The sequence below is a fragment of the Homo sapiens genome, chromosome 9, assembly GCF_000001405.40.
Source record: "Homo sapiens chromosome 9, GRCh38.p14 Primary Assembly".
NCBI lineage: Eukaryota > Metazoa > Chordata > Mammalia > Primates > Hominidae > Homo > Homo sapiens.
The window spans coordinates 124961570-124978476 of record NC_000009.12 but is presented as its reverse complement, the minus strand read 5'-3'; the positions used below and the strand labels follow the sequence as shown (position 1 = coordinate 124978476).

The 16907-nt window shown below is 40.2% G+C and overlaps 1 protein-coding gene and 1 pseudogene across 6 annotated transcripts in view, besides 1 other annotated feature; both read left to right on the top strand.

Annotated features, from left to right (window-relative positions):
* SCAI (suppressor of cancer cell invasion) overlaps positions 1–16907 on the top strand; it is a 200921-nt gene that overhangs the window by 165052 nt on the left and 18962 nt on the right. For 2 of the 6 annotated variants that reach the window (XR_007061282.1, XR_007061281.1), the window contains 3 exons: positions 2291–2363; positions 3088–3230; positions 6633–6714. Coding sequence is in view for 2 of the 6 variants with exons in the window: in NM_001144877.3 (NP_001138349.1) it covers positions 2291–2363; positions 6633–6806; positions 7007–7107 (348 nt within the window). In the remaining 4 variants the exon portion in view is untranslated. Of the gene's footprint in view, positions 1–2290; positions 2364–3087; positions 3231–6632; positions 6807–7006; positions 7108–16907 lie in introns of those variants that run through there. The other 4 variants (NM_001144877.3, NM_173690.5, XR_007061283.1 and 1 more) reach the window with 2 other exon arrangements.
* Positions 2825–3383: an enhancer, noted in NCBI's record as "NANOG hESC enhancer chr9:127737373-127737931 (GRCh37/hg19 assembly coordinates)". NCBI's record gives its function as "activates a minimal SCP1, AML or CMV promoter by ChIP-STARR-seq in primed H9 embryonic stem cells {active_cell/tissue: H9 hESC(primed)}" and the evidence as "EXISTENCE:reporter gene assay evidence [ECO:0000049][PMID:30033119]".
* Positions 9620–10232, top strand: FXNP2 (frataxin pseudogene 2; annotated as a pseudogene).

Here is a 16907-nt window from a genome sequence, read left to right as displayed (position 1 = left end):
AATTTTGCTTAACTGATAGGGTAAAAATGGAATTTTGAGATGGAGTCTCGCTCTGTCATCCAGGCTGGAGTGCAGTGGTGCGATCTTGGCTCCCTGCAGCCTCCGCTTCCCGGGTTCAAGTGACTCTCCTGCCTCAGCTTCCTGAGTAGCTGGAATTACAGGCATGCGCTACCACGCCCAGCTAATTTTTGTATTTTTAGTGGAAACGGGGTTTCATTATGTTGGCCAGGCTGGTCTCCACTCCTGACCTCAGGTGATCTGCCCACCTCTGCCTCCCAAAGTGCTGGGATTACAGGTGTGAGCCAACGCGCCTGGCTAAGAGGCTCTTTCAATATTATGAGATTAATCCTTTGTAATGTGAGTTCCAGATATTTTCTTCAGTTCATTATTTGACTTTTGATTTTGTTTATGCTATATTTTACCATTCATAAGCTTTTGATTTTTATGTAACTAGGTTTATCAATCATAGTTAATCATAACAGGAGAGTCTAGGTAAAAAAAATAATTATTTTTTTCACCACTTTTATTATTTAATTTTTTACATTTACATCTTTGATATATTTGGAATTTGTCCTAGTGTGTGGTATGAAGTATGGAACCAACTTTCTTTTAGATGGCTATTCAGTTTTTCCAGCCAATCTGAGGTGTCATTATTATGTGTACATAAGTCCTAAATGTTTTGGAGTCTAATTCTGGACTTTTCATTCTGTTCCATTGGTTTCCTGCCTACTCTTGTACCAGCACCACTTTAATTACTGACGTTTTTCTTCTGTTATGTTTTGTTTTGTTTTGTTTTTTGTTTTGAGACAGGGTCTCGCTCTGTTGCGCAGGGTGGAGTGCAGTGGCACAATCAGAGCTCATTGTAGCCTTGACCTCCCTGGTGCAAGTGATCCTACCACCTCAGCCTCCCAAGCAGCTGGGACTGCAAGCATGTACCACCACATTTGGCTAATTTTTCTATTCTTTGTAGAGTCGGGGTCTCACTATTTTGCCCAGGCTGGTCTCAAACTCCTGGGCTCAGGTGATTCTCCCACCTCCCAAAGAGCTGGGATTACAGTCGTGAGCCACTGTGCCGGGCCTCACTGAGGTGTAAAGTATGTTTCAATATCTGATGAGTCTAGTTCCCCCTCTGCTCTTTTTCAGAGTTCTCTTGGGGAATCCAGTTTTTCCATATGAACTTTAGAATTACTTTTTTCAATTGTAGGAAAAAAAGTCTGTGGTTATTTTTATTGAGGTTGGTTTAAATTTTAATAAGTTAGTGTAATGACATTTTAGAATTGTTTTATCTCTAAGAACATAGTATGTTTTGGCTGGGCGTGCTGGCTCATGCCTGTAATCCCAGCATTTTGGGAGGCCGAGGTGGGTGGATCGCTTGAGCTCATGAATTTAAGACCAGCCTGGGCAACATGGCAAAATCCCATCTCTACTAAAAATATAAAAATTAGCCAGGTGTGGTGGCATGCACCTGTAGTCCTAGCTACTGGGGAGGCTGAGGCAGGAGAATCGCTTGAACCAGGGAGACGGAGGTTTCAGTGAACCGAGATCGTGCCATTGCACTCCAGCCTGGGCAACAAGAGCACGACTCAAAAAAAAAAAGAACATGGTATGTCTTTACATTTGTTCAAGTCTTCATTCAAGAGTATTTTAAAAAATGTTTTTGTTGTTTGATTTTTTATTTCTTTTTAAGTTTACTCCTAGGAGTTTTATTTTTCTTGTTGCTTTACCACACAGCTTATGATTTTACTTCCCTTGTAGATATACCTTCAGGGAAAGGATATGATTAATTATGTAGAGTACTTTAGTTTGAGTGTCAGCTTGTTACTGTAAATCACAGATTCACATTCTGGTCTTTTATGTCATTCCATGAGAGCAGTTATTATGACCCACAATAAGAGATGACTCCAGGAATCAGGTTTTGGAGCTGAAAGCCAGATCCTGGATCTTGGAAAGTTCACCTTTATATATATAAGTGTGTGTTGCTCGATGGATTGGCCTCTTGGTATACAGCCAGATGACTTCTCCGTGCAAAACTACAATCATGTTTATGCCTTGTGTTTAAAAAATCAGTAGTTCACTCAGTAAACTATTTCAATTGAGAGCCTTTAAGAAAGCCTATTATGCATGGTACTTATATATGAATGGCAGTCTCCTTAGCTGTTGCTGATGTTTCTGCATCTATTTATGAGTTTAAGGGCCCAATCTATACACTAAAAATATGCTTTGGAAAATTACTAAGTAACTATCTTTGGTCAAATCTTTAATGCAAGTTTTAAATTCTTATATATTACAGAATTTCACAAACTTGTTTGGACAGCCACTAGTCTGCTTGCTTTCTCCTACAGCATATCCAAAAGCTTTACAAGGTATGTACCCTCATTGCCTGGTATAGCCATAGGTTGCAAATAAACACTATCTATATTATGAATAGTACTGATCTTTGTTTTTTCCTCCCATAATGATCGCGTGTGGATTTATGGTGTTTAATATGGCAGGTGTCGCTCTGAAATATACCCAGAAGCCTTGCCAACAACCAGGATCCCTTAATGTGCTACCGTTAGGCCTTGAAATAATTCATCCCTGAGAAAGAAGTGGTTTTGTTCCTTGCTGATGGGGAACTCATGATTTGTAAATTTTAAAATTTGTTTTATAGGTGTTTGTTTTGATTTGCTGGTCATATCCATATAGCATGGTTTTCCTATACCTTTGCAGGCATGTTTTAAAAGATCCAAGGCATCTTTTAAGACTTTAAGATTGCTGGTCTAGGAAACTTCTCAGTCTATGCCACAGAGTTAGGATAACCTAACTGGCACAACTTAAAGTGTTTCTTTTATTCACATTTTTACCTTGTTGTGATTTAAAAATAAAAGAACCTCTTCTAAGTCTGCCAGAGAGACAGGTTAGTGTTTTGGCCATTTCTTCAATGGCTGAGAATCAAAAGACTTTTTGTCCTTAATAATTTGTCTTTAATTAGTGACACATAAAATCTAATTCTAACTCCCAGTCATTTAGTAGGTAAAATACTAAACAACCTTAACACTGTTTTAGCAGTACTTGTCACTGTTTCACTATCTCCCTAACTGTGAATAGTGCTGATGTCTCTCTGTGGGAGATGGCATTTTACTGCTACTTCCCAGCCAGAAGTCCTGTCTGCTGACATAGTTTGACACAGGAAGTGATGGTCAGCATTTGAATGCCTGAGAGAAGCTGGAGGCTTTCACCGTTGTTTTAAGGTAAGTTCTGCTGTTTAACAGGGAAAAACATGTAGAAATATTAACTTCATGTATCCAAAAGTAAAATTACTAAGGGATAGAACTTACCTTCAAACAACGGTAAAATTCTCCTGCTTTGAAGATTTTGTTATCCTGTTTCTTATCATTTCTGGAGGAATGTAATCTCTTTCAGTTACTGAGCAGTACTTTTTGCTATCAATCTGTCCTATCATTATGTAGTTTTATTTAAATTTACATGGTCAAATAGGTTAATACCAAGATTATTCGGTCTGAAAGACTTCATTGTATAGAGGAGAAAAACAGACTTTGGAGGCAAACTGACTGAATTTGAATCCCGACTCAGCCACTTACTTGCTGTGTGACCTTGGGAAATTATTCAGCCATTCTGTGCCTCAGTTTCTTCATCTATCAAATGGAAATAATAATAGTATCTACCTCATAGAATAATGCTGGGTATGTAGTAACTACTCAATATGTGCTGTCATTATTATTATTATGCTTAGTTGTAATACATGTCCTTCACACATTTTATCCGGTTTCCTATCTTCATGCTACAAAGCTTAGACCTCTAACACCTTAAATTAATTGTTCAGTTACAAAAGCAGATTCAAAATTCTTCTGTGAGAAATGTTTTGGATTTATCCATAGGCATAATTGCTACTCACCTCTGCAAAAGGGGAGAGCCTTCCATGTGGGTGCAAAACTAGCTGATCAGTAAGCACTTCTGAGATCTAAAGCCTATAGTTTTCTCATTAGCCAAGAGTTACTTCATTTATTCAATTTTTTTTTTTTTTTTTTTGAGATGGGGTCTCACTCTGTCACTCAGGCTGGAGTACAGTTGTGTGATCATAGCTCACTTCAGCCTCTACCTCCTGGGCTCAGGTGATCCTCCCACTTCAGCCTCTCAAGTAGCTGGGACCACAGGTATACACTACCACACCCAGCTAATTTTTGTATTTTTTTTTTGTAGGGACTGGGTCTCACCATGTTGCCTAGGCTGGTCTCAAACTCCTGGGCTCAAGAGATCTGCCTGCCTTGGCCTCCCAAAGTGCTATTCAACATTTATTATCAGGTACTGTGCTGGGCACTGGAGATAGCACTATGACCTGACAAGCACAGTTACATTCTTCACAGAGCCAAATGTCTTGTGGCAGATAGACAGAGCCTGATGGGCGGTTATTATAAGTGATTCACAAGAGGATGCCTGCAAATGGACGAGGAACTCCTGACTAGCAGCACAATGAAGACGAGGGAAGGGGATGAGATAATGTCTAACGTGGACGTTAAGAACATGGAGAACTAGATGGGGGTGGGAAATGACCGAGCAAGAGTGTTCCAGCTGAGAATTTGCATGTGCTGTGGCCATGAGATAAGACAGCTTAGGGAGCATGTAGAGAAATTTATTTTATTGTATTTTTTTGAGATGGAGTCTTGCACTGTCGCCCAGGCTAGATGCAGTGGCGCAGTCTCAGCTCACTACAACCTCTGCCTCCCAAGTTCAAGCGATTCTCCTTGCCTCAGCGTCCCGAGAAGCTGGGATTACAGGCGCTCGCCACCACTCCCAGCTAATTTTTTTGTATTTTTATGAGAGACTAAAAATGTTGGCCAGGCTGGTCTCAAACTCCTGACCTCGTGATCTGCCCGCCTCCGCCTCCAAAAGTGCTGGGATTACAGGCGTGAGCCACCGTGCCTGGCCTAATTTTGTATTTTCACTAGAGACAGGGTTTTGCCATGTTGGCCAGGCTGGCCTTGAACACTTGACCTCAAGTGATCCACCCACCTTGGCCTCCCAAAGTGCTGGGATTACAGGCGTGAGCCACCACACCTGGCCAAGCACATAGAGAAATTAGTCATTCCTTCTAGCTAAAGGGTAGAGTTTGAGATTGTGTGATTGAATTGTGAAAGAATTTCTAAGATTTGTTAAGTAATTTAAGTGGAAGACAATGGGGTACAGGTTGAGCATTCTTAGTCCTAAAATCTGAAATGCTCCAAAATTCAAAAGTTTGAGTATCAACACGATACTGAAAGTGAAAAATTCCACATATCAGTACTTAGCACAAGGTTTGTTTCATGTACAAAATTATTTAAAATATTATGTAAAGTTACCTTTAGGTTATGTGTATACGGTACATATGAAACATTAATAAACTTCGTGTTTAGACTTGGGACCTGTCCCCAGGACATCTCATTATGTATATGCAAATATTGCAAATCCCAAAAAACCCAAAATCCAAACACTTGTGGCCCCAAGCATTTTGGATAAGGGATACTCAACTTGTACCATCAAAAGATTTAAACAGGAGAGTAGCATGAAAGAGCATTCAGTTAATGTCCTAGAGAATGAACTTGGGAGGGGCATGGATGAAAATAGGGAGATGGCTGGAGATAGCACAATGACTAGTAGCCAGCTGCAAAGATACTAAGCCCATAGAACCATAGAACCAACAGGACTTTGTGATGGACTAGGTGTGGGGAGGGAAGGCAGGAATAGACTTCCAGGTTTCTGGCTGAGATGCTGGTAGAAATGATAATACCTGATGAGAAGCATATTTGTAGAGAACAAAAGGGGAAATAATTTGCTTTGAGTTGTTGACATGTTGAGTTTGAGGTGCCTTTGAGAATTAGGTTGAATAGAGTAGCCTAGAGCAGCAGTACTTAAAAGAAGTAAGAGTGTGAGTCATTAAATTTTCTATTACCTATATCAAAAACAGTAAAAAGAAACAGGTGAAATTAGTGTTAACAATGACATTTTGTACTAAAGCTTTGAAATCATCTAGTCACATTTTACTCATCTAGTCACATTTTTAGTGTCCAGTATTTTACTCATCTAGTCACGTTTTTAGTGTCCAGTATCTACCGCAAGACAGAGCAGTGCCAGACCTAAGGAATTCAATTTAGGCTGCTGATAGAGAATTAGAAATTTGTAGGCATATAAATGGTAACTAAAATCATGGGAGTGAGAGCAGTCAGCAATGTATGGGGCCAAAGAAAGAAACTACTCATATTTAAGAGATAGGAAGGGAAAGAGCAGCTCATAGAGAGCAACTCAGAAGAGAATGAAAAAGACTGGCGTTTGTAGCACTCATCAGAGAATTCTATCAAGATAACCCATAATCCAACACTTGCCATATTTGGATGAAATTTGTTAATTGAGAGCAAAAAATAGTAAGAAATATCATTTTCCATTTCTCTTAAGTTTTCTAGGCTCTTTCTGAAGTTTGTTCAGCAGAAAGCAACATAGCAAAGTTTTTGTAGTTTCGTGAAGAATCTGCTTTGATGAATTATGATTTAATGAGATAGCTTTAATTTTATATATTATCAGTATATTAAAATGTTCCTCATATGTATCTCTTATCTTTTGCAAAACTATTGTCTATATATATAACATGTTTGTTATTACAGATCAATCTCAGCGAGGTAGCCTCTTCACTCTCTTTTTGAACAATCCTCTAATGGCCTTCCTATTTGTCTCTGGATTGTCAAGCATGCGCAGAGGCCTATGGGAAAAGTGTCAAGAATATCTTCGAAAAATCAACCGTGATATTGCCCAGCTACTGACTCATTCACGTTCAATAGGTACCCTCCTAATCTAACTGCACGTTTAACAGAATGTACTATAATGGCTTAAAATGGTTACTTATTTTAAATTGTTTGAATTTTTAAAGGTATGTGTCCCAGGCAGGAAAGTTGAGAACGCTTTCCTGAAGTTTCCTTCCCCTTTGAAACATAATTTCCATTTAAGCATCTTTTTACTGTCACTTTTCTCCTCTTTGCAGATCAGGCATTTCTCCAGTTTTTTGGAGATGAATTTCTTCGCTTGCTCCTCACAAGATTTATCTTTTGTTCAGCCACCATGAGGATGCACAAGATTTTTCGGGTAGGCAAAGAACATTATTAAAGACGAATTTTATCATTTTAGGTATTTAAGAACCATGTATTATATTTTACCTGTATAAAATAAGGTTATAATAAAATAATATTATTTTGGATAAATTCAAAATAATATTTACAAATGTACCGTCACACTGGTCTGCTAAGTAAAAAAATACATTTGAATACGTAAAGTATAAAGATTAACAATATTAAGGCACATTTGAGTACCTATCGTTTGTTTAAAAGTAGAACATTTTCTGGCTGGCCGTGGTGGCTCCCGCCTGTAATCTCAGCACTTTGGGAGGTCGAAGCTGGTGGAACACTTGAGGTCATGAGTTGGAGACCAGCCTGGCCAACATGCTGAAACTCCTTCTCTACTAAAAATAAAAAAATTAGCCAGGTATGGTGGCACGCGCCTGTAATCCCAGCTACTCTGGAGGCTGAGGCAGGAGAATTGCTTGAACCCAGGAGGCGGAGGTTGTGGTGAGCAGAGATTGCATCACTGCACTCCAGCCTGGACGACAAGAACGAAACTCCAACTCAAAAAATTAAAAAAAATAAAAGTAGAACATTTTCAATACATCCCTGATCCTATCTCCCTCTCAAATGAAACTTACATCCTGAATTTTATTTATTTATTTATTTATTTAGAGATGGAGTTTCACTCATGTTGCCCAGGCTGGAGTGCAATGACTCGATCTCAGCTCACTGCAACCTCTGCCTCCTGGGTTCAAGTGATTCTCCTGGCTCAGACTCCCAAGTAGTAGCTGGGATTATAGGCGCCCACCACCACACCTGGCTAATTTTTTGTATTTTTAGTAGATACAGGGTTTCACCATATTGGCCAGGCTGGTCTCGATCTCCTGACCTCAGGTGATCCACCCGCCTTGGCCTTCCAAAGCGCTGGGATTATTGGCATGAGCCACTGCACCCGGCCCTGAAATTTTTTTTTTAATCATTCATTTTTCTTTGTAGTTTTGCAGCATGTATTTCTATTCCTACACAACATATTTATGAATCCATATTGTATGTATTCTGCAGCTTCCTTTTTTCCAGTTATTCCTGAGATTGAGCCATGTTGATTGACTATAGCTTTCACTCATTCATTTTGTTTGACTGTGCAACACTAGGCAGTGTTTGACTATATATTGCAAATCACTTATTCTTCTGATAATGGACATTTGGGTTGCTTCCAAGTTTTTATTATTATATAAATGATACTGGCCAGGCGCAGTGGCTCACACCTGTAATCCCAGCACTTTGGGAGGCAGAGGCAGGCAGATCACAAGCTCAGGAGTTCAAGACCAGGCTGGCCAACATGATGAAATCCTGTCTCTACTAAAAATACAAAAATTAGCCAGACATGGTGGCATGCACCTGTAATCCCAGCTACTCGGGAGGCTGAGGAAGGAGAATTGCCTGAACCCAGGAGGCGGAGGTTGCAGTGAGCAGAGATCATGCCGCTGCACTCCAGCCTGTGCAACAGAGCAATACTCAGTCTTGGAAAAAAAAAAATGATGTTACTGTGAAATTCTTGTATCAGTTTCCTGGTACACATATGTAAGATTTTCTCTGAGGAATATACCTAATAGTAGAATTGCAAGATCAGAGGATATAAGCATATTTAATTTTACTAGGTAATGCCAGACTGTGTTCCAAAGCGGTTGTATCAGTTTACACTTATACCAGCAGGATATAAGAGTTGCTATTTCTGTAATCCTTCCTTTCCAACACTTGTTGCAATCATACTTTATAGCTTTTGTGAATCTGCTGAATGTAAAGTGGTAGGACATTGTGGTTTTAATTTTTATTTCGAGGATTACTGTTAAGGTTGAGCAACTTCTCATATGTGTTCTGTTTTTCTCTTTGTAAAGAATGTGTTCAAGTCTTTTGCTTGACTTGATAGTCCAGTTTTCTAGCTGTTGCTTTTTTGTGTATGGATGTACCTATACAACACTTCATTGAGGTTTTAAATATTTTAGCCATTATATTTTTCACTTCTGTAAGGAAAATTTTTTTTTCAAATATGCCTGAACAGTTAAAAAAATATTTTGCAGCTTTTGGTTTCAGAATATTATTTCTTTCTGTTTTATTATGATAATTTTGAAATGTAAAAGAACTGTGCAATGGGCCAGGCGCAGTGGCTCACACCTGTAATCTCAGCACTTTGGGAGGCCGAGACAGGAGCATCACTTCAGGCTAGGAATTTGAGACCAGCCTGGGTAACATAGTGAGACCTCATTTCTACAAAGAAATTTTTAAAATTAGCCAGGAGTAGTGATGTGTGCCTATAGTCCCAGCTCTTCAGGAGGCTAAGGTGGGAGAATTGCTTGAGCCCAGGGGTTTGAGGCTGCAGTGAGCTCTGATTGTACCACTGCATGGGCCAACTGTGCAGTTCCACTTAAGACACAGCCTTTTTTTTTTTTTTTCCAAAAAATAAATTGGAAAAATTTTGGAGATTTCCTACAGTTTGGAAAACAGATGAACTACATAGCCTAGGAATATTGAAAACATTGCTCACCTGGGCCCTGCGGCCAGCAGAATTGGCCCCGCTCTATGGCTGCTGGGGCCTGCGCACTGGAATCGCCGTGGCCTGCGCACCCCACCATGCCAGTTTGAACCTCCATGGCCTCAACCAGATTCGGAATGTCAAAAAGCAGAGTGTCTATTTGATGAATTTGAGGAAATCGGGAACTTTGGGCCACCCAGGCTCTGTAGATGAGACCACCTATGAAAGACTAGCGGAGGAATCACTGGACTCTTTAGCAGAGTTTTTTGAAGACCTTGCAGACAAGCCATACACGTTTGAGGACTATGATGTTTCCTTTGGGAGTGGTGTCTTAACTGGTAAACTGGGTAGAGATCTAGCAACCTACGTGATCAACAAGCAGACACCAAACAAGCAAATCTGGTTATCTTCTCCATCCAGTGGACTCAAGCGTTATGACTGGACTGAGAAAAACTGGGTGTACTCCCACGATTGCGTGTCCCTCCATGATGTGCTCGCTGCAGAGCTCACTAAAGCCTTAAAAACCAAACTGGACTTGTCTTCCTTGGCCTATTCTGGAGAAGACGCTTGATGCCCAGCCCGGTTTTAAGGATATTAAAAGCTGTCAGGCCAAGACCCCAGCTTCATTATGCAGCTGAGGTCTGTTTTTTTGTTTTTCGTTTTTTGTTTTTCATTCCTGCTTTTGAGGAACAGCTCTGTGGAAAGAACGTGTTGCCTCCTACCTTGCCCACAAGTTTTGATTTTTAATTTCTACAGAAGATTTTTTTGGATTAATTGTCTGATTTCCTCCCTCATATGATATCCTTTATCTTTTATAATGTCTTATCCCTATACCTGAATATAACAACCTTTAAAAAAGCAAAAGAATAAGAAGGAAAAATTCCAGCAGGAGAAATGAATTGTCTTCACTCTTCATTCTTTGAAGGACTTACTGCAAGAAGTACATGAAGAGCAACTGGTTAACCTGCTCACTGTTCTGTCTCAAAATGAGACACATTAACGGGTAGGCTACAATGTTCCTGGGCTTCTTTCAAAGTGGAAGCACTTCTGAGCTCTTTAGCATTGAAGTGTCAAAAGCAATTCACATGGGAAGACAATTTCTTATATGTGCTTTGTGACTGCCAGGGTGTGGCCTGCACTGGGTTGTCCTGGGAGACCTAGTGCTGTTTCTTCCACATATTCACGTGTGTGTGTGTGTGTGTATTTTTTTATTATTTTTTCATTTTAAGGGTTAGTATGGAATCAGCTGCTACAAGAATGCAAAAAACTTCCAATGACAAGAAAGGAGGAAAAAAAAGCCATTTTCATGAGCTGAGTGATGTAGCATAATAAACAAAATCATGGAGCTGAGGAGGTGCTTTGTAAACGTGAAGGGGCATAAAAAGGAAAGAGATACTTGTGTCAATAAAGAGAGCCTGGTCCTAGACGTAGTTCAGCCACAAAGTAGTTGTGCCTTTGTGGACAAGTTTCCCAAACTCCCTGAGCCTCTGCTTTCCCATCTGTTAAATGAGGGGATAGAATATGGTTGATTTCCAGCATTCAGTGGTCCTGTCAAGCAGCCTAACAGGCTAGCTCTAATTCCCATTGGGTAGATGAGGGGATGACAAAGAACAATTTGTGAGCTATATAGGAAACATTGTTATTGGTGTTGCCCTATCAGGATTTCAGTTGAATTCATGTTAAAATTACAGCCGTCCTTTATTGTACACTTATTGGGTTAAGCCTATTATACCATATTACCTCATTTTAATTTTTACTGACCTGCACTTTATACATGAAGCAACAAGGCTCCAGGACATTAAAACTCACACAAAGTTATGCTCATGTTATATTATTTTCTTACTTAAAGAAGGATTTATTAGTGACAAGTTTGTATTAATATGTAGCAAAGGCTTTTCCAATGGGTGAATAAAAACACATTCCATTATAGTAAAAAAAAAAAAAAAAAGTCAAGCTGGGAGAAGTGGCATATACCTATAGTCCCAGCTACTCAGGAGGCTGAGGCAGGAGGACTGCTTGAAGCCAGGAATTGGAGATCAGCCTGGGCAACATAGGAAGATCCTATCTCTTAGAAAAAAAAAACTCTTAATAATGAAACAGTATAAACAGAAGCTAAGTAAAATATTTTCTTTCTCCTGAAATAAAATTATTTTTTGAGTCTGATGGAAGTGTTTAAGTGCAGTAGGTCAGTGCCAGTGAGAAAAAAAATAAAATCATACAAAAAAAGAAATATTGAATAAATTAAGAAAAAGGTATATCATGAATACATAAAATATATGTAGACACTAGTCTATTTTATCATTTACTACTATAAGATATATACAAATCTATTATGAATGATTAAAATTTATGCACACACTTACAGACCATATATGGTACCATTCACAGTCCAGAGAAGTGTAAACAAAAGTAATGATGCAATATTAAATCATAACTGTCCTTGTGATAGTTTGCTGAGAATGATGGTTTCCAGCTTCATCCATGTCCCTACAAAGGACATGAACTCATCATTTTTTATGGAAGGACAAAAAACCAAACACCGCATGTTCTCACTCATAGGTGGGAATTGAACAATGAGAGCACATGGACACAGGAAGGGGAACATCACACACCGGGGCCTGTTGTGGGGTCGGGGGAGGGGGGAGGGATAGCATTAGGAGATATACCTAATGTAAATGACAAGTTAATGGGTGCAGCACACCAACATGGCACATGTATACATATGTAACAAACCTGCACGTGTGCACATGTACCCTAGAACTTAAAGTATAATTTTAAAAAATCATAACTGCATAAAATCACTGTAGTGCCTACTGTACTACTGTAATAATTTGGTAGCCACATCCTGTTGCTCTGGCAGTAAGCTCAAGTGTTGCAAGTACTGCTTAGAATGCCTGTCATTTCCGTGAGCAGTTTGTCTCTCCAGTAAATTGTGTATTGTAATAAAAAATGATCTCTAGTGGTTCTCACATATTTTTTATTGTGTTTAGTGCAGTACTGTAGTAAACCTTGCATAACACCATGGGATCCATATGAAGTGATGCTTCAAGTGCTCCCAAGAAGCAATGAAAAGTCATGACATTACAAGAAAAAGTTGAATTGCTTGATATGTACCATAGATCAAGGTTTGCCATTGTGGTTGCCTGCCATTTCAAGATAAATTAATCCAGTAAGGAGTGTTGTAAAAAAAGAAAAGAAAATTTGTGAAGCCATCACTGTAGCTACGTTAGCAGGCATGAAAACCTTACACTTTTTGTGAAATACCTTTTTATCTCATAATGAAAATGTAGCGTTTATGTAGGTGCAAGGTTGCTATAAGACATACTTACAGGCCGGGCACAGTAGCTCACGCCTGTAATCCCAGCACTTTGGGAGGCCACAGAGGGTGGATCACCTTAGGTCAAGATTTCAAGACCAGCCTGACCAATATGGTGAAACCCTCGTCTCTACTAAAAATATAAAAATTAGCTGGGCGTCGTGGCGTGAGCCTGTAGTCTCAGCTACTCGGGAGGCTGAGACAGGAGAACTGCTTGAAACCAGAAGGCGGAGGTTGCAGTGAGCTGAGATCACACCACTGGACTCCAGCCTGGGCGACAGAGCAAGACTCCATTCCCCCCCGACATACACACAAAAAAAAGACATATATTATGATTTGAGAAAAAGCAAACTCATTATATAACAAAGCAAAAGGAAAGTGAAGGATCTACAGCTAGAGAATTAAATTCTGGCAAGAAAGGGTTTGATAATTTTCGAAAGAGCTTTGGCTTTAAAAATGTTAAGATAACACGAGAAGCAGCTTCTGCCAACCAAGAGGCAGCAGACAAGTTCCCAGAAAGTACCTTTTCTGGAAAAAAAAAAAAAACCTGCCACAAAAGACATTTATTAGTAAGGAAGAGAAGTGAACACCAGGATTTAAACAGGAAGGGATAGACAACTCTGTTATTTTGTGCAAATGCACTTGGGTTTATGATCAGGAGAGTCTTTATCTATAAAGCTGCTAATGCACCTTGACAGAAAAGATAAACACCAGCTGCCAGTACAACAAGAAGGTCTGGACAACAGGAACTTTCTTCCAGATTAGTTTCGTTGATGCTGTGTCCTTGAAATCAGGAAGTACCTTGCCAGTAAGGGACTACCTTTTAAAGTTTTTTTGATATTTGGCAATGCCGTGGCTGTCCAGAACCCCATTAATTCTATACTGAAGGTATCAAAGTGGCCTACTTGCCCCAGAACACAATGTCAGCCTCTAGATGGGGGGTCCTAAGGACCTTTAAGGTTCATTACACAGAGTATGTATTATCAAAACTATGGAAGAGAACCCCCAATGGAGAGAACATCATGAAAGCCTGAAAGGATTCCACCATTGGAAATGCCATCATTATTACAGAAAAAGGCTTGAAAGCCATCAAGCCTGGAATCATTCCTGCTGGAGAAAACTGTGTCTAGATGTTGTGCATGACTTCAGAGGATTTGTGACAATCAAGGAAATCATGAAAGAGATTGTGGATGTGGCAAAAAGGGTGGGGAGTGAAGGGTTTCGAGATACAGATCTTGGAGAAATTCAAGAGCTAATAGACACCACACCAGAAGAATTAACAGAAGATGACGTGGGGTGGACATGAATGTTTCTGAACCAGTGCCAGGAAGCAGACATAGAAGAAGCAGTGGCAGAAAACAAATGGACATTAGACAACCCAGCAGAAGGGTTTAGATTATTCAGGATTGGGCTTTTGACTTCTATGAGATGGATGCTTCTATGATAATGGACACTGAAATGAAAGCAAATAGTGGAAGGATTGGTGCCATATAGAAACATTTTAGAGAAATGAAAAAGCAGAAATGTCAGACACAAATTATGACATATTTGCATAAAATTATACCCAGTTGCCTGTCTCTCCTGCCTCCCCTTCCATCTCCTTCACCTCTCCTCTCTCTGCCACCCCTGAGACAGCAAGACCAACCCCTCCTCCTCCTCCACAGCCTACTCAATGTGAAGGCAATGAGGATGAAGACCTTTATGATAATCCACTTCCATTTAATGAATAGTAAATATATTTCTCTTCCTTATGATTTTCTTTTTCCTTTTTTTTTTTTTTTTTTTTTTTTTGAGACAGATTCTCACTCTGTTGCCCAGGTTGGAAGGCTGGAGCACAGTGGCGCGATCTCAGCTCACTGCAACCTGCACCTCCGGGGTTCAAGAGATTATTCTGCCTCAGCATCCTGAGTAGCTGGGATTACAGGCATGTTCCACCATGCCCGCCTAATTTTTGTATTTTTAGTAGAGGTGGGATTTCGCCATGTTGGCCAACCTGGTCTCGAACTCCTGGCCTCAAGTGATCCTCCTGCCTCAGCCTCCTAAAGTGCTAGGATTACAGGTGTGAGCCACCGTGCTCAGCCCTGGCCAATTTTCTTAGTAACATTTTCTTTTCTCAGCCCGGCGCTGTGGCTCACGCCTGTAATCCCAGCACTTTGGGAGGCCAAGGTGGGCAGATCATGAGGTCAGGAGTTCAAGACCAGCCTGGCCAACATGGTGAAACCCCGTCTCTACTAAAAATACAAAAATTAGCCGAGCATGGTGTGAGCACCTGTAATCCCAGCTGCTCGGGAGGCTGAGACAGGAGAATCGCTTGAACCTGGGAGGCAGAGGTTGCAGTGAGCCAAGATTGCACCATTGTACTCCAGCCTGGGTAACAAAAGCAAAACTCCGTCTCGGGGGGGAAAAAATTCTTTTCTCTAGCTAACTGTATTGTAAGAATACAGTATATAGGCTGGGTGTGGTGGCTCACGCCTGTAATCCCAGCACTATGGGAGGCTGAGGAGGGTACATCACCTGAGGTCAGGAGTTCAAGACCAGCCTGGCCAACATGGTGAAACCCCATCTCTACTAAAAATACAAAAATTAGCCATCTGTGGTGGCATGCACCTGTAATCCCGGCTACTCAGGAGGCTGAGACACGAGAATCACTTGAACCTGGGAGGTGGAGGTTGCAGTGAGCCAAGATCGCGCGACTGCACTCCAGCCTGGGTGACAGAGCAAGACTGTCTCAAAAAAAAAAAAGAAAAAGAAAGAAAAAGAAAAAACAATATATAATACATATAATATACAAAGTATTTGTTAATTGACTGTTTATGTTATCTGTAAGGTTTCTAGTTACTGGTAGGCTATAAGTTGAATTGCTTGATATGTACCATAGATCAAGGTTTGCCATTGTGGTTGCATGCCATTTTAAGATAATTAATCCAGTAAGGAGTGTTGTAAAAAAAGAAAAGAAAATCTGTGAAGCCATCACTGTAGCTACGTTAGCAGCCATGAAAACCTTACACTTTTTGTGAAATACCTTTTTATCTCATAATGAAAATGTAGCATTTATGTAGGTGCAAGGTTGCTATAAGACATACTTACAGACCGGGCACAGTAGCTCACACCTGTAATCCCAGCACTTTGGCAGGCCACAGCGGGTTGGTCACCTTAGGTCAAGAATTCAAGACCAGCCTGACCAATATGGTGAAACTCTCGTCTCTACTAAAAATACAAAAATTAGCTGGGCGTCGTGGCGTGAGCCTGTAGTCTCAGCTACTCGGGAGGCTGAGACAGGAGAACTGCTTGAACCCAGAAGGTGGAGGTTGCAGTGAGCTGAGATCACACCACTGCACTCCAGCCTGGGCGACAGAGCAAGACTCCATCCCCCCCCGCAAAAAAAAAAAAAAAAAAAAGACATATATTATGATTTGAGAAAAAGCAAACTCATTATATAACAAAGCAAAAGGAAAGTGAAGGATCTACAGCTAGAGAATTAAATTCTGGCAAAAAAAGGGTTTGATAATTTTCAAAAGAGCTTTGGCTTTAAAAATGTTAACACGAGAAGCAGCTTCTGCCAACCAAGAGGCAGCAGACAAGTTCCCAGGTGCCACTGAGGGGAAAGGATACCTGCCTGAACAGGTTTTTAGTGCAGAAGAAAGTACCTTTTCTGGAAAAAAAAAAAAAAAAACTGCCACAAAGGACATTTATTAGTTAAATTTCAGGTAGTTAAAAGTTATACATGGATTTTTCAGGGAGTTGAAAGTTATACATGGATTTTTAACTGTGTTAGGGAGGGGGCTCAGCATCCCTAACCCCTGCATTGTTCAGGGGTCAGCTATATTTGAGTTCTGACATATTTGTCCATTTATGGATTCGTCTTACCATTCATCAGTAGATCTTTTTTTTTTTTTTTTGAGATGGAGTCTTGCTCTGTTGCCTAGGCTGGAGTACAATGGCGTGATCACTGCTCACTGCAACTTCTGCCTCCTGGGTT